At 44.5% G+C, this 24,384-nt stretch overlaps 1 protein-coding gene across 17 annotated transcripts in view, besides 2 other annotated features; it reads left to right on the top strand.

The window, feature by feature from the left end:
• Positions 782-24,384, top strand: part of GYG2 (glycogenin 2) — a 53,889-nt gene continuing 30,286 nt past the window's right edge. For 3 of the 17 annotated variants that reach the window (NM_003918.3, XM_017029929.2, NM_001184703.2), the window contains exons 1-4: positions 782-827; positions 1,913-2,047; positions 14,850-14,942; positions 15,065-15,206. In NM_003918.3, coding sequence (NP_003909.2) covers positions 2,041-2,047; positions 14,850-14,942; positions 15,065-15,206 — 242 coding nt within the window. In that variant the 5' untranslated portion in view covers positions 782-827; positions 1,913-2,040. Of the gene's footprint in view, positions 939-1,120; positions 1,207-1,912; positions 2,048-14,849; positions 14,943-15,064; positions 15,207-24,384 lie in introns of those variants that run through there. The other 14 variants (XM_047442609.1, XM_047442610.1, XM_047442613.1 and 11 more) reach the window with 6 other exon arrangements.
• Positions 18,559-18,661: a silencer, noted in NCBI's record as "fragment chrX:2764748-2764850 (GRCh37/hg19 assembly coordinates)". NCBI's record gives its function as "represses an EF-1alpha promoter that drives an FKBP-Casp9 reporter gene in an ReSE screen in phorbol 12-myristate 13-acetate-treated (for megakaryocytic differentiation) K562 erythroleukemia cells {active_cell/tissue: K562(+PMA)}" and the evidence as "EXISTENCE:reporter gene assay evidence [ECO:0000049][PMID:32094911]".
• Positions 20,059-20,685: an enhancer, noted in NCBI's record as "H3K27ac-H3K4me1 hESC enhancer chrX:2766248-2766874 (GRCh37/hg19 assembly coordinates)". NCBI's record gives its function as "activates a minimal SCP1, AML or CMV promoter by ChIP-STARR-seq in naive H9 embryonic stem cells {active_cell/tissue: H9 hESC(naive)}" and the evidence as "EXISTENCE:reporter gene assay evidence [ECO:0000049][PMID:30033119]".

Consider the following 24,384-nt stretch of genomic DNA (forward strand, 5'->3'; position numbering starts at 1 on the left):
ATGCATGCATGCATTCACCTATATTTTCCACACAGTCACACCTCCATTCACGCATCTATCTCTAAATTCATTCATACATGCATTGGCTCGTTCATGCCTTCAACTCATGCATTCATGTGTGAATGCATTCATTCCCTCCTTGGCGCAAACATTGATTCAATGGTTCATTCATTTCCTGGCCTGCTCATTCATGAGTAGTTGTTTGTTCATTCACGCCTCACATGCATTCACGCATACATGCACTCACGCATACATGCACTCACCGCGTGCGTACAGCCACTCGCTCGCTATGCATTCAACAGCTGAAGCCTGAAACCCTCATTTATTCTTTCTTTCGTGCACTCATTCATTCATTCAGTTTATGCGTGTAAGTACGCGCACGTGCATTTTTCATGCATTCGACAAGATCGCGTATAAGCCCTGCCTTCTCCCTCTGGGAGGCTTCCAGAGCGGCCTCCACTCTTGCTGCGCGCTGGCCTTGGGCCCAGGGCCTTAAGTCATCGCAAACGTTTACTTTGGGGCTGGCTGATTAAAGGTTAAATGTCCAAACCTAGAAACCGCCGACTGCCGAAGGGGCCGCGGCGGGCGAGGGGCGGGGCGCGGGCGTGGATCGCAGCCCCCGGCGGTTCCCGGGTCTCTCTTCCCGGCAGCCGGGGCTGGGCACCAGGCGGCGCGCGGGCTTGCGGGCAGGGGCTGCAGGGAGGAGGAGAGGACCCGCGCCCGCGGGGGCTGGCGGAGGCGGGGCCGGGCTTCCGGACAGAGGCCAATCGCTGCCCTCGGGGCCTCCAGCGCCGGCTCTGGGCCGAGGCAGCCAGAGCGCGGAAGAGGTGCGGGGGGCTGTAGGGGGCTGCAGGGGACCGTGGGCAGTGGAGGAGGCCTGGGCGCGGCGGGGGGCCGGGGGGCGCAGAGGCTGCCCGAACGCCTAGGAGGTCTCGAGGGTGGGTGGCGTACAGCGGGGCGGGGGCGCAACCCAGAGGCCGAGGCTGGGGGCTGGGGGAGGGGCGCCGGACTGGAGTGCAAAGGAGGGGCGAGGGGCGCAGGGGGCTGGAGGTCAGAGGTTGCCCAAGCGCGAAGGAGGGGAGGGGTGCGGGGCGCGGGAGTAGGCCAGGAGCGCTTAGGGGTGAGTGCGCCGAGCCAGGGCACCGAGTGCTGGGGAATACAGGCCGTCCAGGCGCGGCGGGGCGCGGGGAGACGGAGGCTGCCGGAGTACGGAGGACAGACGGGGCGCGGGCGTAGGGCTGGGAGGCTTGGGGAGGGGGGCGCGGGCCCAAGGCAGAGGCTGCGGGAGCGCGGGGCAAGGGAGAGGTGCAGAGCGTGGAGGGGGCTCGGGGGCGCTTGGGGAGGATGGGCGGCAGGCCGGGTCGGGGAGGAGGGGCGGCGAGAGGCGCAGGGGTAGGCCGGGGGGCTGCACTGGAGTGACGAGGGAGGGGGCACCTGGCCGGGGGGCGCGGGCAGAGGCAGCCCAAGCTCGGAGGAGGTGCAGATACTGGCGTCCGGGAGCGCAGGGGTGGTCCAGGGAGTGGAGAGGGGTGACCGGGGGGCGCCAGCTGGGGTGGAGGAAGAGGATGCCCAGAACTCCAAGCAGGTGCGCGGGGCGGCGGGGCAGCTGCTGACACCGCTGAGGTCGGGTGGTGTCCCGGGGGCGTTGTCGTTGCTGGGCGCATGGGTGTTAAGACGCAGCGGGGTCGCAGGTGACTGTGGGGAGGACAGGGGGTCAAGGGGCCCCTGGCCAGAGGGCACGAGGCTGACCTGGAGCGCCAAGGAGGAAGTGCGGGGCGTGGAGGTCGCAGGGGCATCGGGGGAGGCAGGGGCCCCGTGGGGCGCAGGTGACATGGAGTGGGTAGGAGGCCGGGGGTGACACTGGCGGGGCCTGCAGCCGAGGGTGTCGAGACTGCCACGCTGTCGCCCCCAGGCCTGGAAATCCACGCGGATTCCCGGAGACGGCGCCTCTGCTCTGCGGGTTCGTGGCGAGGAAGTCCACCCACTGCTCCCGGGCGCAGGTCTGCAGGTCCGCGCCCACTGCCCGCGGCGCCACTGACCATGTCGGGTGAGTAGCTCAAGCTGCTTCAGTTCAGCCTGCCTGTTCCTACTGGCTTGGGTGACAGATTGGTCTGCACTGGGGAGAACCCCACTTTGACCGCAGGATTGCCCCAAACCCCGAGTCTCCCCCTTACTGCCTCGCCCAGGTCTCTCTGGGGCTGGAGGGAATGGAGATACCAGCCTCAGCTGCTGGGAGGGGGTGATTTACAGCAAGTGAAGGGGGCCTTGGGATTTCACCAGTTTCCTTTTGTAAAATATAGTCCTGAAACTTTCAATGGGCTTGTTTCTTGGGAATAGCATTGAACTGCCTGAGACTGTCACTGCCTGGAAGGCCGATGGGAAGAAGTCTGTTCTCCTGAAATGGCCCTAAAGCTCTGGGAAGAGGCTGCCTTGAGTTCTTAGAACTCAGACCACGGTTTTAATTTCTGTTTCCAGTACAGATACAGGGATGGCCCGGCTTGGTGGCTCAGGCCTGTAATCCCAGCACTTTGGGAAGCTGAGGCGGGAGGATTGCTTGAGGCCAGGAGTTTGAGACCATCCTGGGCAACATAGGGAGACCACATCTCTAGGAAAAAAATTTAAAAATCAGCTGGGCATTGCGGCACCTGCCTGTAGTCCCAGCTACTAGGGAAGCTGAGGTGGGAGGGTCCTGAGCCCAGGAGTTCCAGGCTGCAGTGAGCTATGAGTGCACCACTGCACTCCAGCTTGGGTGACAGAGTGAGACCCTGTCTCTAAAAAACAACAACAAAATAAGAATCCAGGTTAATCCTCCTGCAGGCAGAGGGCTGGCTGGCAAGAATGGCAGGAAAGGCCTGCCCCCGCCAAGGACCGGTGAGCCCCATCTCCCTGCCCTTGGGTTTTGTGGACATCAGATAGACTGGTTGACTTAAGAGGCCTAGATATGTGAACAGAGTGTAACCTCTTCCCATAAGAAAGATGCTGGTTCTATTTTCTATCATTAAATCATTAAGACACCTCCTTCTTGTACCAGACCACACTGGATCATTCTATGAGTGCATTTTATGTATTTATTTTTAAATGTATATTTTTTAAATTTTGTAGAGACAGGGTCTTGCTATGTTGCCCAGGCTGGTCTTGAACTTCTAGGCTCAAGCAGTCCTCCTCCTTTGGCCTCTCAAAGTGCTGGGATTACAGGCACGAGCCACCACGCCTGGCCATGAGTGCAATTTAAAACACACAAACAGAACAGATGACTTTTTTATTCAGAGGAGAGATTTGGTAAATCACAGAGCTGCTTCTCTCCTGTTTGTTCCCACTCTGGACTTAGAGATGAAAATTGTCGGGGCAGGGATCTTAAGGGCTGTTTTCATGAGGTGTACTGGAAGAGTCTGTTCCAAGGAATGGCAGAAAAGATTCTCTGTTCTAGGGACGCGTTTGGAGCTCTCTAAAGTGAAAGCCACACATTTCCCCAAGCCTGCTAGGGTCTGTATAATAGCAGCATTCAAGACGGACATTCGCATACATCTTGGTCAGCCTCGTGCCAGAAGAGAAGACTCAACTCTTTGCAGAAAACAAAAACCACCTTTGAGTAGAAAAGGGCTGAGAAGGAAGCTGCTAAGGTTATTTTGGGGGGTGATCAGAAGATTCCTTGAGTGCAGGGGGGCAGGCAAGGGGTAGAAAGAAACTGTTGTCACAGATTCATAAAATTCTCAGCCACTGTAATCTCCAGACTGGACTTGATTTTGTGACAATGTCTCCTTTTTGTGGGCTGTGGTGCAGTGACAGGTTTTCTTGCTGTTTTTCCACTCCATGCCGTTGCTGAAAGTGTCCGCCGCAGTGGCACTTGGAGTGGAAACTCCCTCTTTGAATGCAGTAGCATTGGATAATTGTGGATGTTCTCTGGCGTCTGGCGCCGCACCAGGACTTGATCACCAGTTGTTTCTTCAAGGCAAGGCGATGTGGAAGCTAAGCCCTGTCAATCAATGTTTCATCTTCTGTTCTATTTCAATCTGCTGGTCTGTCTTTGCACTTTAGATGGGTTTTACAGTGTCCTGGATGGGAAGCGGCTAACCTTCAGGAGGTGCACATTTTTGTTCCAAAGCAAAAGTCTGAGTCTCGGATCCCTTGTTGCTGGAGAGAGCTCGTGTGCCAACTGGTGTTGTCTTGTCATTGTGTGACTGTGGTCAATATTCCCTCCACTCTAAACCAAAGAGAGAAACAGGGTATCCAGTAGTTCCATAAAACTCTCACTCTAAATGCAGCCCTGTCTGCATTCTCTTTTGTGTTTGAGATCAAGGTGGGTGTGGGCAGGGCTGGTTCCTCCTGAGGCCTCTCTCCTGGGCTTGGTCCTCACAGGGTCTTCCCTTTGTGTGTGTCTGTGTCCTAATCGCCTCTTTTTTTTTGAGATGGAATTTTGCTCTTGTCGCCCAGGCTGGAGTGCGATGGTGCAATATCGGCTCACTGCAGCTTCCGCCTCTTGGGTTCAAGCGATTCTCCTGCCTCAGCCTCCTGAGTAGCTGGGATTACAGGTGCCCGCCCCCATGCCCGGCTCACTTTTGTATTTTTAGTACAGATGGGGTTTCTCCATGTTGGTCAGGCTGGTTTTGAACTCCTGACCTCAGGTGATCCACCTGCCTTGGCCTCCCAAAGTGTTGGGATTACAGGCGTGAGCCACCACGCTTGGCCTAATCTCCTTTCTTATAAGGACACCAATCCTATTGGATCAGAGCCCACCCTAGTGACTTAATTTTATCTTAATCTCTTCTTTAAAGACCCCATCTCCAAATACAGTCACATTCTGAGGTCCTGCAGGTTATGATATTCATATATGAATTTTGGAGGTGCACAAGTCAGCCCATAATAGGATAACTCATTTATTTGAATACTACTGTGTTTTTCTGCTGGGGCTGCCATAACAAAGTCCCACAGACTGGGCGGCTTAAACAACACACATTTACTCTCCCACAGTCTTGGAGGCTGGAAATCTGAGATCAGGGTGTGGGCAGGGCTGTTTCCTCCTGACGCCTCTCTCCTTGGCTTGTAGATGTTGTCTTTCTCTGTATCTCCACAAGGTCATCCTTCTGTGTGTGTGTGTGTCTGTGTCCTCATCTCCTCTTGTAGTGAGGCCAGCAGTGCTACTGTATTAGGGCCCACCCTAGTGACCTCATTTTACCATAATCACCTCTTTAAAGACCCCATCTTCAAATGCAGACACATTCAGAGGTTCTGTGGGGTAGGGTTTCATCCTAGGCGTTTCAGGATGGGTTATCATCCGTCTATAACACCCATTAATCCTCATGTTTTCCCTGAGGTCCCCATGAAGAGCTATAAAGCCAGCGCATGTGGTTATCAATCAATGATCACTCTGCCATTTCTCTTAGTTGTCACTGAGATCCTCATGAAGAGATTAAAAAAACCAGCGCACATCGTTATCAATCATTGATCACTTTGCCAGTTCGCATAGTTGTCACTCACGTCCTGATGAAGAGATAAAAAGCCCATGCGCATGGTTATCAATCATTGATCACTCTGTCATTTCTTTCAGTTGTCACTGAGATCCTCATGAAGGGGTAAAAAACCAGAGCCTGTGGTTATCAGTCACTGATTGCTTTGCCATTTCTCTTAGTTGTCACTGATGCCCTCATGAAGAACTATAAAACCAGCACAGGTGGCGATCAATCACTGATCACTTTGCCATTCCTGTGTGTTGTCCTCTGCACCTTGCTTTGGGCCAATTCACTTGCATCATCCTTTTCTCTAGACAGCCAGAGGGCCCTCCCTGGCAATGGAGATGAGACCTTCTTACAGGTTTTGGAACCCTCAAATAGCTCCTCATAAGCCTCAGGATAATAGAAAAGGCTGCATATCACCTTTGTAATCCGGGCCCTCTGACCCCATCTCTTCCTGTGGGTCCTTGTTCTCCAGCTGCTGTTGCTACGCTGTGAGGAATGCAGGATGCAGCATGCAACCTATCATCTCCACCTCTGGCCTTGGCTGGTGGATTTTTTCTGCCTCTTCCTTCTTTGCCTTATTATTTTTGGTTCAGTTTCTTATTGGAGGCAGGAGACAGTAGCTATTTTGAGGGCTTTTGTTGGTGTTGGAGTCAGAGGTGACCTCGGACATTTAATTACTCGTTGAAGCCCCGGTTTACTTGTTTTTGAAGCACATGTCTGTGTTGGAAAGGGAATTAATGAGAGCGCAGAGGTATGCCCTATCTACACACTCCTGGAGGGATGGGAGCCATATTCATTCTTGTTTGTTGCTCCACTGATTTCTTGATGGATAAGTTCTTCCTGGCCATTTATCCCTGAGCTTGGATGGTGCCCTTTCAAAAACTGCTGCCAGCCATAGGACTTGCCTTGCAGTATCGAAACACCCATTTCTTAGGGCTAATGTTTCTCATGGAGCTGTGGGTGTCTGAGGACAGAGCTTGTACCTTGTCAGCTGCTGGGCCCAGCACCTAGCAGATTCTCGTGCCTGGGAATTGCCTGGGACGTGAACCCACAGTGAACGTGTAATGCACTGAGAGCACGTCATTAGGCCCACACAGACATCTTCTGCCCCTTCACCTTCTTTGTCTTCTGCCTCCAGCTTCAATCCTTCACTCTTTCTCTAAGCAGATGCCCTTATGTGTGCAGCTTATGGCATAGCACTGTGGACTGGGATAAGCAGTGTCCCCCATAAAACTCATGTCCCCCCAGAAGCTGTGAATGGGACCTGTGAACCCAAAAGTATCTGAGACAGGTCTCAATCCATTTAGAAAGTTTATTTTGCCAAGGTTAAGGACATGCCCGTGACACAGCTTCAGGAGGTCCCGACAACATGGGCCAAAGGTGGTCGGGGTACAGCTTGCTTTTACACATTTCAGAGACATGAGACATCAGTCAATACATGTAAGATACACATTGCTTTGATCTGAAAGGGTGGGACTACTTGAAGCAAGGGGGTTGCGGGGGGTGGTGCCAGGTCATAGGTAGATTTTTAAATGTTCTGATTAGTCGAAAGAGTTATTATCAATAGAAGAGAATGTCTGGGTTATGATAAGAGGTTGTAGAGACCAAGGTTTTATCACGCAGATGAAACTTCCAGGTAGCAGGCTTCAGAGAGAATAGATTGTAAAGGTTTCTCATCAGACTTGAGGTCTGTGTGGATGTTTATGGTGGTCAGCTTTTCCTGAATTCCAAAATGGAGGAGGTTATGATGAGGCATGTCTGACCCTCTCCTCATTATGGCCTGAACTCGTTTTTCAGGTTAACTTTGGAATGCCCTTGGCCAATTAGGTAGTTGCGAGGCCTAGAATTTTAGTTTAGGTTTACAGACCTTATTGGGAAATAGGGTCTTTGCAGATGTAATTAGTTAAGCATCTCAAGATAAGATTATCCTGGAATATTTGGGTGGGCCCTAAATCCAATGGCAGGTGTCCTTCTAAGAGATAGAAGAAGAGACACAGACACAGAGGAGGCCATGTGGAGTTGGAGGCAGAGATTGGAGTAATGTGGCCACAAGCCCAGGGACATCTGGAGCCACCAGGAGCTGGAAGAGGCAGGAAGGACCCTTCTCTAGAGTTTGGTTTTGGAATCCTGGCCTTCAGAACTGCAAGAGAGTAAATGTGTGTTGTTTAAGTCTCCCAGCGTGTGGTACTTTCTCACAGCAGCCCCAGGAAGCTCATTCATGGGTTTGCTAGGGAAAGGAGTCAGCGATGAGCCCACCAGTAAGCAAAATGAGCACAGCAGGTAAGATGGCACAAGAGATGAAGGGTCCTGTGTCATAGGAGGTGAGGGACTGTGATGAGAAGGGTCGTCTTGGGGAGCAGGGTTTGCAGGAAGATCTCTGAGGGATGGGTGGTTTTTTCCATGGCCACCATGTGCTGGGAGGAGAGCAAGTTCCAGGTGAGTTAAGGGAGTGGTAGTAGCCCCATGGTAGTAGCACACATCATAGGATGTGCTTGAAGACCCAGAGGGGTTGAGCTGGACGTGGGGACTGAGTGTGGGGGATGAGATGACCAGCAGTCTGGACCCAGCTTACATTTGCAGACAATGAGAAAACCATTGGCGTTGGGTTGGCTTTCAGGGCAGCTGATGGCTTTCACTGTGTGTTGGGGGAGAAAATGTGGTTTTTAAGGACCGAGGAGACAGATAACAGGGACCAGAATCTACAGGGTGGAGCAGAGAATGCAAAGGAGGGAAGCTGTGGCTCAGGGTGGTTGATGCAGAGACCCATTTTAAATGTTTTCTAGTCTGGTGCGGTGGCTGGCTCACACCTGTAATCCTAGCACTTTGGGAGGCCAGGACGGGAGGATTGCTTGAGGCCAGGAGTTTGAGACCAGCCTGGGTGACAGAGCAAGAGACCCCATCTCTACAGAAAAGTTAAAAATAAATTAGCCAGGTGTGGTGAGCATCTGTAGTCCCAGCTACTCAGGAGGCCAAGGCAGGAGGATAGCTTGAGCCCAGGAGTTCCGGGCTTCAGTGAGCTGTGATGCTGCTGCTGCACTCCAGCCCTGGTGGCAGACAGAGCAAGACCCTGTCAAAAAAAAAAAAAAAAAAAAGCCAGGCACAGAAGGACACCTGTAGTCCCAGCACTTTGGGAGGCTGAGGCGGGTAGATTGCCTGAGCCCAGGAGTTCGAGACCAGCTTGGGCAACATAACCTGTCTCTACCAAAAATATAAAAAATAGCTGGATGTAGTGGTGTGCACTTGCGGTCCCTGCTACTCAGGAGGCTGAGGTGGGAGGATTGCTTGCTCTCAGGAAGTCGAGGCTGCAGTGAGCTGAAATCATATCACTGCGCTCCAGCCTGAGCAACAGACGGAGACCTTCTCTCAAAAACCACCACCACCACAACGTAATGAACAACCCCAACATTTTCTGTTGTGCCTCTCGGTTAAGATCTCAGGTTAGTTATGCAAGAGTAGAATGTGGGATTGGAGGCAAGTGGACTTCTCCTTACCCCAGAATTCATGTCATAAATGCTCTGCACAGACGAGGCTTCTGGGACTCTTGGGGAGACCTAGGAGGTGGGTAATAGGGATCTGAATCTACACGGTGGAGCTCATGACCCAGGTCAGATGATGCCAAGTTTCATTTTATACATTCTCTGTTCTTCTTCTCTGCTCCTTAAGAGCGCAGGTCAGTAAGTGGGGTTGGAAACAGTGGACTCTTCCTTACTGGGGTATAGGAGTTGGCACGCTAAATATTCTGCAAAGCTTGCTCTTGCAGGACCAAGCATCTAAATAGTAAGGTCTAACCTCAGTCATCTGTTTCTGGAGGAAAATCCCAAAGCATGGCCTTTGGAGTGTGATTTAGCCCTCATTCTCAGATTCAGTGGTGAAGTTCAGAGGGGAGCCAATCCCTCTGAGCATCTCGAAGGTGGACAGAACAGTCAGCTCAGGAGGAAATCTCAAAACAACGCCCCTCCTCGGGAGTTCTCTTACCTTTGTCATTGTAGTTCCTAAAGGATGCACTCCTTTTCCTTTCTATTCTTTAATTCACAGGGTCCTTAAACATGGTTCCTCAGATTTCAATAATCTATACATTGGAGATCACAAAGAAATCTTAATACTGCCAATGAAAGGCTAAAAATTGTAAATGGCACTTTATTTTCAGTTTGACATTACTTTGCTGATGATTCTTTTCATAATATATATGATTTGATTTACCTTATTTTTTACTTTGCCATCTGCTTTGCAATTAAATACACACACACACACACACACACACACACACATACACACACACACACGTTTTCTTTTTAAAGACAGGGCTCTGCTCTGTAACCCAAGCTGGAGTGCAGTGGCACAATTATATCTCACTGCAGCCTCCAACTTCTGGGTCAAACAATCCTGCCGTCTCAGCTTCCCAAGTAGCTGGGACTACAGGCATGTGCCAAAAAAAAAAAAATTAAATTAAATGAATGCAAGTCCATTCTCAGTATGAAACACATACTGAAATAACTGCCTGAGAAATGGTACGTGGTAGATAAATGTGCAGCAGATGTGCTAATTGGCCTGGGTATAGAAATTTAGCTATTTGGTCTGGGTATACAATTTTAGGTTGAGGACCATTGCACTCAGAGTTTAGATATGGTGGTTTGTTTTAGTGTCCACTATTCATGATAAGAAGTCTCAGTCTCATCCTTAATAGGATTGACCTGTATTTTTATTTTACTTTCATTTTCTTGGCATTTTCACAATGTTCTCCTTAGCCTTGGTGTTTTTAAATTCCAGGAATATATTGTCAGGAAAAGGACTGCTGATTTTCTTTCTTTCTTTCTCTCTCTCCCCTCCTCTCCTCTCCCCTCCCCTCCCCTCCCCTCCCTTCCTCTCTCTCTTTCTTTCTTTTTTCTTTTTCTTTCTCTTTTGTTGCATACTCTCTGGGCTTTTTAAATCTAAAGACTGACTTTCTGCTGTTGAGAACATTTCCTGTTTAATTTCTTTGAAAACTTTTCTTCTCTCTATTTTTTTTTTCTATTCTCTTATTCTGAAACTCATGTTGGTGAACCTTCTGAATCACTCCTGTAGGCTTCTAGCTTTCTGAAATTTTCCATTTGTCCCTTTATTCTACTTTCTGAGAGATTTCCTCAATGATGTTTTCCAAACCTTCTGTTATTTCGTTTTCATTTCAGCAAATCATATTTTTAACTTCTAATAACTATTTCTTATCCTTGGAGTGATCTTTTCTATAGCATTTGATTCTTGGTTTATAGATGTATCCCTCTCCCCCTGATCTTTTGAAAGAATACTAATTGGTGCAGTCAGAATTTTTATGTCTGCCTGTCTGTTCCTTGAACTTCTATTCCATGAAATGTCTGGTATTTCTGGGGTTCTTCCCATTCCACCCCATAACTTTTCAGTTTTCTCTTTTGTGGTGAAGGTGTTTTTCAAATATCTGGTAATGGTTTATATCTATATGTATAAAAATGAGGAATGTCGGTTGAGCTGTACCCACTTGCCGACTCGTCTGAATTTGTCAAGCTTATGCTATAGGTTGGGAATTCCACTTCTGTGTGATGGTAATTATTTTTTTCTTGGGCTTTTTGTTTCCTTTAGAATAGATCCTATCATCTGATTTTGCCCCTGGTGATGGGTATATTTGGCCTCTGAGAATTCTGCAGAATTTCAGTGACTTCTCCAGTTTCTCTTATTGGCTGATGGTTTTCTCCTGCCTCTTTGTTGGCTTGGGGTTCACACTTGCCTTCCTTAGCACACTTTTTAGTCTGTTCTCCTTTTATCTCAGAAAGAAGGAAAGAGAAACTAGGAGCTCCACATCCACCATCTTTGCTTGGAAGATTCCTGGTTTACACTTTTAATTACGTGATTGAATTGATGAAAATGGATGGACCTTGAAAACATCATGCTGATGGAAAGAAGTCAGACACAAAAGGCCATATGATGCTTAATTCCATTTACATGAAATATGCAGAACAGGCAAATCCACAGAGATAAAAAGTGATTGGTGGTTGTCACAAGCTAGGGAAGGGAGAAAGGGGAGATACTCCTTAATGAGTGCAGGGTCTCTTTTTGGGGTGATGAAATGTCCCAGGATTAGATAGAGGTGGTGGATGTGCAACATTGTGATGAATTGTGTTCTTTACAATGGCGAATTTTATGTCATGTGAAATTTACTGTGATAAATAAAAAGGAAATATGAAATTATTCCATTTTCAAAAGGCTACATAGTGTTTGATTCCATTTATAGGAAATATCCAAAATAGGAATGTAGAGACAGAAAGCGGACTCATGGTTGCCAGAATGGGGAGTGACTGCGTAATGGGTACAGGGCCTCCTTTTGGAGTGGTGAGAATGTCCTCGGATTGCCTGGAGTTAGTGGTTGCACAACATTGCGCATGGACTAAATGCGAGTCACTTGTGCACTTTAAAATGGTTTGTTTTATGTTATGTTAATTTCCCGTTAATTTTTTGAGAGTTTGCATGGAAAGGTGAAGCTCTAAGCAGGTCGTATGTTTAGGTGTGGGGATACCCATTATGCTGCTTAGAAATATGTTCACACTTAGGGCTCAGCACTGGGGGTTCTACTTGGTAATTCTTTCTGCTTCCACACTCTTTCAAGATATGGGTCAGAGAAACCCTGGTGAGGACGGGGTAGGGGATTGGATCTCTGGCTCTGTTTTGGGCATTGTGTGATTTTCGAGGTCTGTGGGTGAAGCTCACACAGTACCTTTACCTTGGCCAGCTCTGGGCTTTGCAGATGCCAGTCCCGAATGCCTGCTTCCTCTCCCAACTCTGTCCTCTGCTTAGAGACAAAAGAAGCCTTACAGACAGCTGAATGGGTCCATGACAGCTACGCCTGTTCTTGGGAAGTAATTTTGATCAGAGCTCAGGCCTTTGGAAATGTCTAAAGAAGTAGTAATCACCATTATTATCATTTTAAAGCTAGTAACTAAGAAAACTATAGATAGATTATAGATAATGGTAGAGATAATTTATAATCTATAGACTGTAGGTAGATAGGTAGATGATTGAAAGATTGATAGATATAAATAAGTAGATACATAGAGGACATATATATGATAGGTAGATGGTAGGTATAGATAGATGGATGGCTAATAGAAAGATGATAGGTAGAGAGATGATGGAGATAGATGGATGATAGATGATAGATATATAGATGATAGATAAATAGATATAGATGATATATGATAAATAGATGATAGAGATACATGGATTAGATAGCTAGATAGATAATAGAGATACATGATAGTAAGATAGATAATAAATAATAGATGTGAAGAGGATTGGTAGATGATAGGTGGATAGATGGATGGATAGATGATAGGTAGATGGATAGATAGATGATGGATGGATGGATAGATAGATATATGATAGATAGATGAATAGATGATATAGATAGATAGATAGAAGGATGGATAGATAGATGATAAAGATAGATCGATTATAGTAAGATAGATAATAGATGTACAGAGAATTGGTAGATGATGGATGGATGGATGAATAGATGGATAGATAGATGATAGATGGATGGATGTATAGATGATAGATAGGGATAGATAGACAATGGATGGATGGATATATGACAGATAGATGGATAGATGGATGGATGGATAGATAGAGATAGATGATAGTAAGATAGATAATAAATAATAGATGTGCAGAGAATTGGTAGATCATAGGTAGATGGATGGATGAATGGATGGATAGATAGATGATAGATAGGTAGATGGATAATATAGATATTATCCAATGATAGATAGATGATGGATGGATGGATAGATAGATGATAGATAAATAGATGAATGGATGGATGGACGGATGGATGGATGGATGGATGATGGGTAGATGGATAGATATGGACTGATGAAAGGTATCTTTTGTTCTACAGAATTAAGTTGTAAAGTTTGCTGTCTGTAATTCTCACTCCCAATGGAGATGTCAGGAATTCTCGTTCTTTCTTCGTTCAAGGGTGGGGAGGAGGAGTCTACAGGAGCAGCTGTAACAGGCACATTTTGGAATTTACCCCATTGGAATGTAAAGGTCAAGGAGGCAGCCCTGTACCACACGTCTGGGACGCTTGTGTTTGTTATATTTAGTGCGAATTGTGGGTTGGCTTTGCTTGGAGTGCTGCTTCCGGGAAAGGCGCTGTGGTCGCCTACATGCTGAGCATTTTAATTTCCATAGACAGTACACTGGGCTGCACACTGCATGGGACTTCTCGGCATTGCTGGCTGCCCTCCTGACTGTTGTCTTTCTCCTGGCAACAGGGGCTTGGGTGCCCAAGAATCAAGTGGTTTAAAAGTCATTACCAAAGTTCACATCAGTCTTGTGCACAGAGAATTAAAACTGCTGTAAATTATATCTGCTGTGAGAGCTCCTTCCTCTCATACTGAGGCATTAGGAAATTGAATCCATTCTACCTAATGAAACAATGTACTTTTCCTTATGTTGTCTCTACCGCCTCATACATCCCTGAGTTGAACTTGAAGTCTTTGTAAGAAATGGTCTGTCCAGAATTTAAATAACATGTTTGGCTGCTTCTTTATGGAGCACGATTCTTTTCTTTCCTTTCTTTCTTTTTTCTTTTTTCTTTTTTTCAGAGACAGGGACTCACTCTGTTGCCCAGGCTGGAGTTCAGTAGTGTGATCATGGCTCTTTGCAGCCTTGACCTCCTGTGCTCAAGCGATCCGCCTGCCTCAGCCTCTCAAGTAGCTAGGACTACGGGCATGCACCACCTCGCCTGGCTAATTTTTTTTTTTTTCCAGTACAGATGAGGTCTTGCTGTGTTTCCCAGGCTGGTTTCAAACTCCTGGGCTCAAATGATCCCCCTTCTTCGACCCTAGCACTGGGATTACAGGCATGAGCCACTGCACCTAGCCCAAAGCACAGTTCTTTTGAGTGAGTTGGGTTACATCTTTGCTGTAACTCAGGTCATCAAGCCATCACTTCCACTTTTTGCCTTTTGTTTTCACCTAAGATCTAAACACTTTGGGTGAGTTTTCAAGAGTCAAACACAACATAAAATAAGGGATAGTAGCTATGAGTTTCCATGGCATTGCAGCATCAGGAAATGGGCATAGCAGTTGGGTTGACTTTGTCCCTTGTTTAAGGTTCCTTCATACTCCTCCTGTGTTTTGTTTTGTTTAGAATGAAAGGAAGCATGTATGCGAATTAGAATACTGAATATTCACTGCAAGTCGTGATTTTTTTTTTTTTTTTGAGACAGGGTCTCACTCTGTCATCCAGGCTGGAGTACAGTGGTGCAATCACGGCTCACTGCAGCCTCAAACTCCCAGGCTCAAGTATCCTCCCACCTCAGCCTCTCCGAGTAGCTGTAACTGCAGGCCTGCCACCACGCCCAGCTAATTTTTGTATTTTTCGTAGAGACAGAGTTTCACCATGGTGCCCAGGCTGGTCTCGAACTCCTGAGGTCAAGCAATTCACCCACCTCAGCCTCCCAAAGTGCTGGAATGACAGGTGTGAACCATCACGTCTGGCCCAAGCCATGAATCTTGGGAGAGGAGAGGAGGTGACTATGGCCCCGTCACCCCTGCTGTCCCTCAGGAGTGTAACTCTGGTGTTTCTGTTGATTTTCACAGTGACTGATCAGGCTTTTGTCACACTAGCCACCAATGACATCTACTGCCAGGGCGCCCTGGTCCTGGGGCAGTCACTGAGGAGACACAGGCTGACGAGGAAGCTGGTGGTGTTGATCACTCCTCAGGTGTCCAGCCTGCTCAGGTAAGGCTCAGAGATGCGGCTTGTGCCCAGCTGGGTCCTATAGAAGGAGGGTCACCTCTCCCCTAAGAGGTCCTAGGAGTTATTCTGACGACTGACTGCCCTTCTTCATAGGCCTGGATGGCCGGCAGTCATGATGGGCATCTGACGTTTGTAAGGAACCTTCGAATCATGTGAAAATATAGGCGTGTGATCGGCTTCACAATACTTTAAAAAACAATACTGGGTTTGGTTACAGTTCATTCTCCCAACCATGGAAACTGAAAATTCAATTCTTTTTTGTTTGTTTGTTTTTTGAGACAGGGTCTCGCTCTGTCGCCCAGGCTGGAGTACAGTGGTACCATCTTGGCTCACCGCAACCTCTCCCTCCCAGGCTCAAGCGATCTTCCCTCCTCAGCCTTCTAAGTAGCTGGGACCACAAGTATGTGCCCCCATGCTCGGCTATTTTTATTTTTATGTTTTGTATTTTTGGTAGAGACAGGGTTTCGCCACGTTGCCTAGGCTGATCTTGAACTCCTGGACTCACTCAGTCCACCCAGGTTGGCCTCCCAAAGTGCTGGGATTACAGGCATGAACCATGGCACCCAGCCAAGGAGTCTTTTCTTATAATTTCCTTTTATAATTCTCTTTGTCTTTAATTCTCAAATAAAGCAAATACATAAATAAATGCGTCTAATGAATAAAGCATAAGGCTTCTCTTAAATGTCATACATTATGTAAGCAATAATCTTTTTCTTTCATCAACCATGGACCACTTAAAAAAATTGATTTTATACGAATGGGACGAGGAGGCATTTAATATGGTAGATGTAGCAGGAATTGAATGTCATATTCTTTGACAATGAAATAATAAATCCAGACATTAATAGCTAAACTAAAAAGAGAACAAATAAAAAACCAACCAGTGTGTCCTCAGACGTTTGAAACTGGAAGTTTTAAATGAAATAACTCAATCCGGGTACAAATGAAAGCTTGAATTATGTACTATTTCAGAAAATCACTGCAATGTGAGTGCTACCTATACAAAGCAAAGACAGCAACTACAGTGGTACAAGACAGAAAATTTAAATCAGTGAAGAAATTATCCAGTTCAAATATATATGTATATACACACACGTATGCATATATATGTGTATATGCACGCGTGTGCGTATATATGTGTATACGCACACGCATGCGTATATATGTGTATACGCACACGCATGCGTATATGTGTATACGCACACGCATGCGTATATGTGTATACGCACACGCATGCGTATATGTGTATACGCACACGCATGCGTATATGTGTATACGCACACGCATGCGTATATGTGTATACGCACACGCATGCGTATATGTGTATACGCACACGCATGCGTATATGTGTATACGCACACGCATGCGTATATGTGTATACGCACACGTATGTGTATATGTACACGTATGCATATATATATACATGTATGTGTATATATTTATATATACGTATGTGTATATGTACATGTATGTGTATATATTTATATGTACAGGTATGCGTATATACACATGTATGTGTTTATATTTATATACATGTATGTATACCTGTATGTATATATGTTCAACTATATATTTTTATATACATGTATGTATATATTTATATATACATGTATTATATATGTTCAAATATATTTATATACACATGTGTATGTATATTTATATACACATGTGTATGTATATATACACGTGTGTATGTATATTTATATACACGTGTGTATGTATATTTATATACACGTGTGTATGTATATTTATATACACGTGTGTATGTATATTTATATACACGTGTGTATGTATATTTATATACACGTGTGTATGTATATTTATATACACGTGTGTATGTATATTTATATACACGTGTGTATGTATATTTATATACACGTGTGTATGTATATTTATATACACGTGTGTATGTATATTTATATACACGTGTGTATGTATATTTATATACACGTGTGTATGTATATTTATATACACGTGTGTATGTATATTTATATACACGTGTGTATGTATATTTATATACACGTGTGTATGTATATTTATATACACGTGTGTATGTATATTTATATACACGTGTGTATGTATATTTATATACACGTGTGTATGTATATTTATATACACGTGTGTATGTATATTTATATACACGTGTGTATGTATATTTATATACACGTGTGTATGTATATTTATATACACGTGTGTATACACATGTGTATATATACACATGTGTATGTACATATATTTATATACGCATGTGTATTTACATACATTTATATACGCATGTGTATGTACATACATTTATATATGCATGTGTATGTACATACATTTATTTATGCATGTGTATGTACATATATTTATGCATGTGTACGTATATTTATTTATGCATGTGTATGTATATATATGCATGTGTATGTATATATATACATGTGTATGTGTATATATATGTTCAAATGTATATGTATATACATATAAAATATATATATTTGAACTGGATTTCACTGATTTAAATTTAAAATATATATACACACATATTTGAACTGGATAATTTCAAATATATATATTTCATATATATATTTGACTTGGATAATTTCTTCACTGATTTAAATTTAAAAAAATATATACATATATGTATATATATACATATATATACACACACACATATATATACACATATATATATATATATATATTTTTTTTTTTTTTTTTTTTTTTTTTTTTGAGACAGAGTCTCACTCTGTCGTCCAAGCTGGAGTGCCATGGCGCGATCTTGGCTCAGTGCAACCTCCATCTCCTGGGTTCCAGTGATTCTCCTGCCTCAGCCTTCCAAGTAGCTGGGATTACAGGCATCCAACATCACGCCCGGCTAATTTTTGTATTTTTAGTAAAGACAAGGTTTCACCACTTTGCCCAGGCTGGTCTCGAACGCCTGACCTCAAGTGATCTGCCCGCCTCCGCCTCCCAAAGTGCCAAAGTGCTGGGATTACAGGTGTGACTCACCGTGCCCAGCCCCAAATATTTTTAAAATAATAATATTAAAAAAGCAAACAGCAGTAAAAAATTCATAAAGATAAAATGACAAAACTAATAATTGGGAACAAGAAACAAATTCAAGGATTAGGTTAACAAATCTTCAGGGAGGCCAAGGTGGGAGGATTGCATGAGGCCAGGAGTTTGACAAGACAGGCTGGGTGACATAGCAAGACCCTATCTCTACAAAAAATAAAAAGAGTTAGCCAGGTGTGGTGGTGCGCACCTATAGTCCCAGCTAGTCAGGAGGCTGAGATGGGAGGATTGTTTGAGCCCAGAGGTTCGAGGCTGTAGTGAGTTATGATCACACCACTGCACTCCAGACTGGGCAACAGAGTGAGCTCCTCTCTCTAAAAATAAAAATAACAAATAAAAATGAATCTTTTATTCGAGAAAACATAAATGTACAAAATTGAAATTAGAAAGAAGTCATTTGGAGGCAGTTTTAAAAGCAAATAGTATATAGAACCCTTTACAGTAGTGACACTGGGAGTATTGAAGAAGTGCTTGATCCTTCTAGGGAAATCGGTGAGATGTTGGTTGTTGTCATCAGAAGAAATAGAAACCTTTTGTTTGACAATAACTATGAGAAAAACTGAAAATGTTACCAAAGGCTTATCTTGTAGAAAGGCCCTGGTTTGGGCAATTTTAAGGGAAGTTCTGTTAAATTGCTCATGATGAATTAATTTCCCTGCTGCATAAACTGTCACAGAGCCTAGCAAAAGATGAATATGTTCACTTATTTTAAGAAACTGTTATAATCTTGACACCCAAACTTGATTTACAGGTTTGATTGTGTTTACATTTGGATTGAGAAAGCCCTCAAATACAGGATGTTAATAAGGCAACTCTAGCCCTGTAGTAAAGAAATAAATAGTGCTTACACTAAGAAAGCAAAGATAGGTTATTATTTTAAAACCTATTAATATCATTCAACACATTAATATGTTAGAGAAAGTCAATGATAAGATCCTTTTAAAATAAAAACTAAACATATAACAAAAAGAATTCCAGGCCGGCCACGGTGGCTCATGCCTGTAATCCCAACACTTTGGGAGGCTGAAGCAGGTGGATCACTTGAGGTCAGGAGTTCGAGACCAGCCTGGCCAACATGGTGAACCCTGTCTCTACTAAAAGTACAAAAAAAAAAAAAAAAAAAAATTAGCTGGGTGTGGTGGCAGGCACCTGTAATCCCAGCTACTCGGTGAGGCTGAGGCAGGAGAATCACTTGAGCTCGGGAGGTTAAGGTTGCAATGAGCCGAGATGGCACCACTGTGCTCCAGCCTGGGTGACAGAGCAGGACTCTGTCAAAATAAATAAATAAATAAATAAATAAATAAATAAATAAATAAATAAAAATCCACATAGATTATAAATATAGAGGTAAACATTTAAAACATAGAGAAATCTTAGAAGAAAGTAGATGAAAGTTTCTCAGCACTGCTGCTATCTGGGACTGGAGGGTTCCATGTGGTGGGGTGTCCTGTGTACTGCAGGGTGTTGAGCAGCGTCCCTGGGCTCCGCCCACCAGATGCCGGCAGGAGTTGGCAGTTGTGACAACTAAAAATATCTCCACATGTTGATGAAGGTGGATGTTTTGTTCATCTGAAAGCTGGAAATGCTGGTGTAAATTAAACAAGATGGAAGAGGACACCAGAACTGCTGTGTGTCAGAGATATTATGTGTTAAAGATAAAACAAACTGAGGGCCACATTTAAAATATTATAATGGAGAGGTTCTTATTGTCCATCACGTACAAAGAACTCTGAAAACACTTTAGGGGTTTGCACGGGCTCGTCTCTAGCACGCCAGAAGCAAAGATAGACAGACAAATACAAAAATAGGTATTAAACACGAGCAACTGGCTGGGTGTGGTACCTCACGCCTGTAATCCCAGCACTTTGGGAGACTGAGGTGGACGGATCACTTGAGGTCAGGAGTTCGAGACCAGCCTGACCAACATGGTGAAACCCCGTCTTTACTAAAAATACAAAAAACATTAACCAGGCGTGGTGGCGCCTGTAATTCCAGCTACTCGGGAGGCTGAGGCAGGAGAATCGCTTGAACCTGGGAGGCAGAGGTTGCAGTGAGCCCAGATCGCGCCACCTGCACTCCAGCCTGGTGACAGAGCGAGACTCTGTCAAAAAAGAAGGGAAAAAAAAAAAACCTGACTATATTAAGGTCCAAAAATGCACCAGTGAGTGGAAAGGTACACATAGCACATCCAGCAGGTTCCGTGTTTTATTTTAAAAGCCGGCGGGGGCGACGGGGTAGAAAAATGCTGTTAAAGAGTGTAATTGAGTTGCTTGTAACACAAAGGATAAATGCTTGAGGGGATGGATACTGCATTTTCCATCATGTGATTATTACTTATTCCTGCCTGTGTCAAAGTAGACTTAAGGTTCACTCAAGAGGAACTTTAAAATATTCAGAAACAACATGGCAGAAATCGTGGGAAGGTTCAGTGTTGCAAGTCGGGTTGAGGTTTTGTGGGACCTTTTATTATATGTTTCGTAGTCATGGGGAGAATTGAGGGATGGCGCTCTGCGGTGGTCAGGGCAGTGGAAGACGAGCAGTGAGCAATGACCGTAAATGACCAGGGGTGTGGGTGGTGGGAGATCGCCCCTCCCCCAGGCTGTGTGGTACAAGCGTGTTATGGAGTGATCTTGCAGGGAAACCTGCTTTAAACTAATTGTATTCATGAAACATAATTCTGCTTCCAGGAGTTTATTTTAGGGAAATGAGCAGAGCTGAACAAAAAGATGTAAGGACATAAATGGCAGTGCCATTTGTAGTGAGGTGGAGTGCTGTTTCTCTTGCCCTCCCCCCAGCCCGGATCTTTACGCAACTGTGGTGAAGATGCCATAAATTCCATAAATAACTGGGCCAAAAGCAGAGGGAGATTTGCTGAAGGAAGGGTACTTTTTCAGAGAAATAGTTACCTTAAATACAGAGCAGTGAAATCTTACAAATAAATGTCGAGTCCAAGAGAAATGCTAAGAGATAGAAAAGGTCCGAGAGCTTCAATATCTGTCAAATAGGAGAGAAAGAAAAAGAAAGAAAGAAAGAAGTAACTCCTATTATATTTCAGCTCTGAGACAAAGTTTAGATTGAAAGTGTTCCAGATATTGAGCAGAGTGGATGAAGAAAGCTCAAATGTAGACACCAAGTGGTAAAATTTCAGAGCAGCAAAAATGAAGAAAAATCCTAAATGCCTTTCTGTATCAATCTGGTTGTGACAATTGATGTCTCAAAATTCTGGTGCAAGATAACTTTGAAATGAAAGTTCTGTATTCAGCTTTAGTACCGTAATTTGAAAGCAAAACAAAGACTTTTCAAATTTGCAAACGTTAAAAATGTTATCCCTCAAAGATCTTTGAGGAAAAAGTTAGTTGATTGACTCCTGCAAAATGGAATGTAATCCAAGAAAGGCGAGAGTAGCCAAGCACAGTGGCTCATGCCTGTAACCACAGCATTTTGGGAGGCTGAAGTGGGAGGATCGCTTGAGTTCAGGAGTTCAAGACCAGCCTGGACAACATAGTGGGGTCTCATCTCTACTAAAAAATTTTTAAAAATTGCTGAGTGCAGTGGCACATGCCTGTAGTCCCAGTTACTCAGGAGGCTGAGGCGGGAGGATCACTGGAGCCTAGGACATTGAAGCTGCAGTGAGCTATGATTACACCACTGCACTCCAGCCTGGGTGACAGAGCAAGACCCTGTCTCAAAATAATAATAATAATGATAATGATAATGATAATAATAAATAGAAGAGAGCACACAGGAAGCAGTGCTGAATAAATAAATGTATAAAACAGAGTTAAGTCTGAATGTGTTAGTGCACAGTTACGAAAATAATCTGGAATTAACATTTCACATGGGAGGTAATTGAAAGAGCAGAGAAGAAAGAATGAGCATATGTTCATGTTTTTGTTTCGTCTGGGAAGAAGACATAGGTAATGACTATATTTGATAGAAAATATAAGCTTAAATACGTGTGCTGACAGTTGAAAGGTGGTTACCACCAGAAAACTAGAAAAGATGTGTACAAGTTTCAGAGCCTTAATGGGAAATGCGTGGATTGAAGAAAACCTGATTCATGCAATCAGAGGTGGGTGGGAAAGAATTACACTGATGTCAGGCCTCTGAGCCCAAGCTAAGCCGTCATATCCCCTGTGACCTGCATGTACACATCCAGATGGCCGGTTCCTGCCTTAACTGATGACATTCCACCACAAAAGAAGTGAAAATGGCCTGTTCCTGCCTTAACTAATGACATTATCTTGTGAAATTCCTTCTCCTGGCTCATCCTGGCTCAAAAGCTCCCCTACTGAGCACCTTTCGACCCCCACTCCTGCCCACCAGAGAACAACCCCCCTTTGACTGTAATTTTCCTTGACCTACCCAAATCTTATAAAACGGCCCCACCCCTATCTCCCTTCGCTGACTCTCTTTTCGGACTCAGCCCACCTGCACCTAGGTGAAATAAACAGCCTTGTTGCTCACACAAAGCCTGTTTGGTGGTCTCTTCACACGGACGGGAGTGAAAACTGAAGAAATAGAAAATCTGATATATGTAAAAAAGGGAAAATAATATAAAATGAAACTGCAGGACTCAATCCAAATATAACCGTGATCATAATAAACATGAATAGATTAAAATTCCTTTTTAAAAAGATAGGCTTTCTGAATGGGAAAATAAACATAAAATCCGGACATACAGTAGTGTAGGAGGCAGCTTAATTAAAAACAAACAAAATGTTGAAAATAAATGGATGCATTTGATATGATTCTGTTCCACTATCCAATCTAAGTAATGGTCAATTGTTTTATAGATTGTTCTTCAGTTGTTTGTTGTTGTTGTTGTTGTTTTGAGACAGAGCCTCGCTCTGTCGCCCAGGCCGGAGTGCAGTGGCACGATCTCAGCTCATTGCAACCTCTGCCTCCCAGGTTCAAGCAATTCTCATGCCTCAGCCTCCAGAGTAGCTGGGATTAGTTTCCCGCCACCGCACCCGGCTAGTTTTTGTATTTTTAGTAGAGACGGGGTTTCACCTTGTTGGCCAGGCTGGTCTCGAACTCCTGATGTCAGGTGATCCACCTGCCTAGGCCTCCCAAGGTGCTGGAATTACAGGCATGAGCCCCTGTGCCCAGCCTTCAGTTTGGTTTTGTCCAGTGTTTTCTCATGATTAGACTGAGGTTATGCATTTTTGGCAAAAAAATCATCAGAATTGATGTAAGTTTTCAGTGTGTCATGCTATGGAGTGCATGATGTCTGTATGTCCTGACCTGGTGATGTTAAATTTCATCACCTGGATTAAGTGGTGTCTGTTGGAATTCTCCACTGTGAAATTATTATGTTTTTCTTTTAGTAATGGAAAATATCTTGGCATAGACATTATACAAACAGCCTGTTTCTTCTCTAAAAATCAGTGAGTCTTGTCTGCAACAGTTGTTACTATAGTGTTTGCCTAATCGTGGTTTTCTACTTCCCTCATTCCTTCTATTTCAATTACTTGGAATTATCTTCTAAATTAAACCTGCCCTTTCTTTCTCACATATTTGTTTATTCAATAGTTATATTAGGTCAGGCGTGGTGGCTCATGCCTGTAATCCCAGCACTTTGTGAGACTGAGGCAGGCAGATTGCTTGAGCCCAGAAGTTTGAGACAAGCTTCATAAACATTGTGAAACCCCATTTCTACCAAAAAATACAAAAAATTAGCCGGGCATGGTGGCATGCACTTGTAGTCCCAGTTACTTGGGAGGCTGAGGCAGGCGGACCACTTGAGCCCAGGAGTTCGAGGCTGCAATGAGCTATGATTGCACCACTGAACTCTAGCCTGGGTGACAGAGTGAGACCCTGTATCAAAAAGAAAACTTATATTAGTGTAGGCTCATGAATATTTATTTCATATTTTGGGCTTGTTGTTTTTTGTTATTGATTACATTATTTCAGCTTTGGCAATTGGGTGCTTCCCCTAGCTGGCCCCCTGTATTCTTTCAATATGCCCCCATCCTTTTCTAGCACTTGCTTAATTTTTCTGTCATCCCAATATGTTCCAGACTATGATGAAGTGGGATTTAAGCAAAAATAAATAAATAAATGGAACAGAGCAAATTTCACTTTGATAAAATGGACAGTC

This window comes from Homo sapiens, chromosome X (genome assembly GCF_000001405.40).
Source record: "Homo sapiens chromosome X, GRCh38.p14 Primary Assembly".
Classification (NCBI taxonomy): domain Eukaryota; kingdom Metazoa; phylum Chordata; class Mammalia; order Primates; family Hominidae; genus Homo; species Homo sapiens.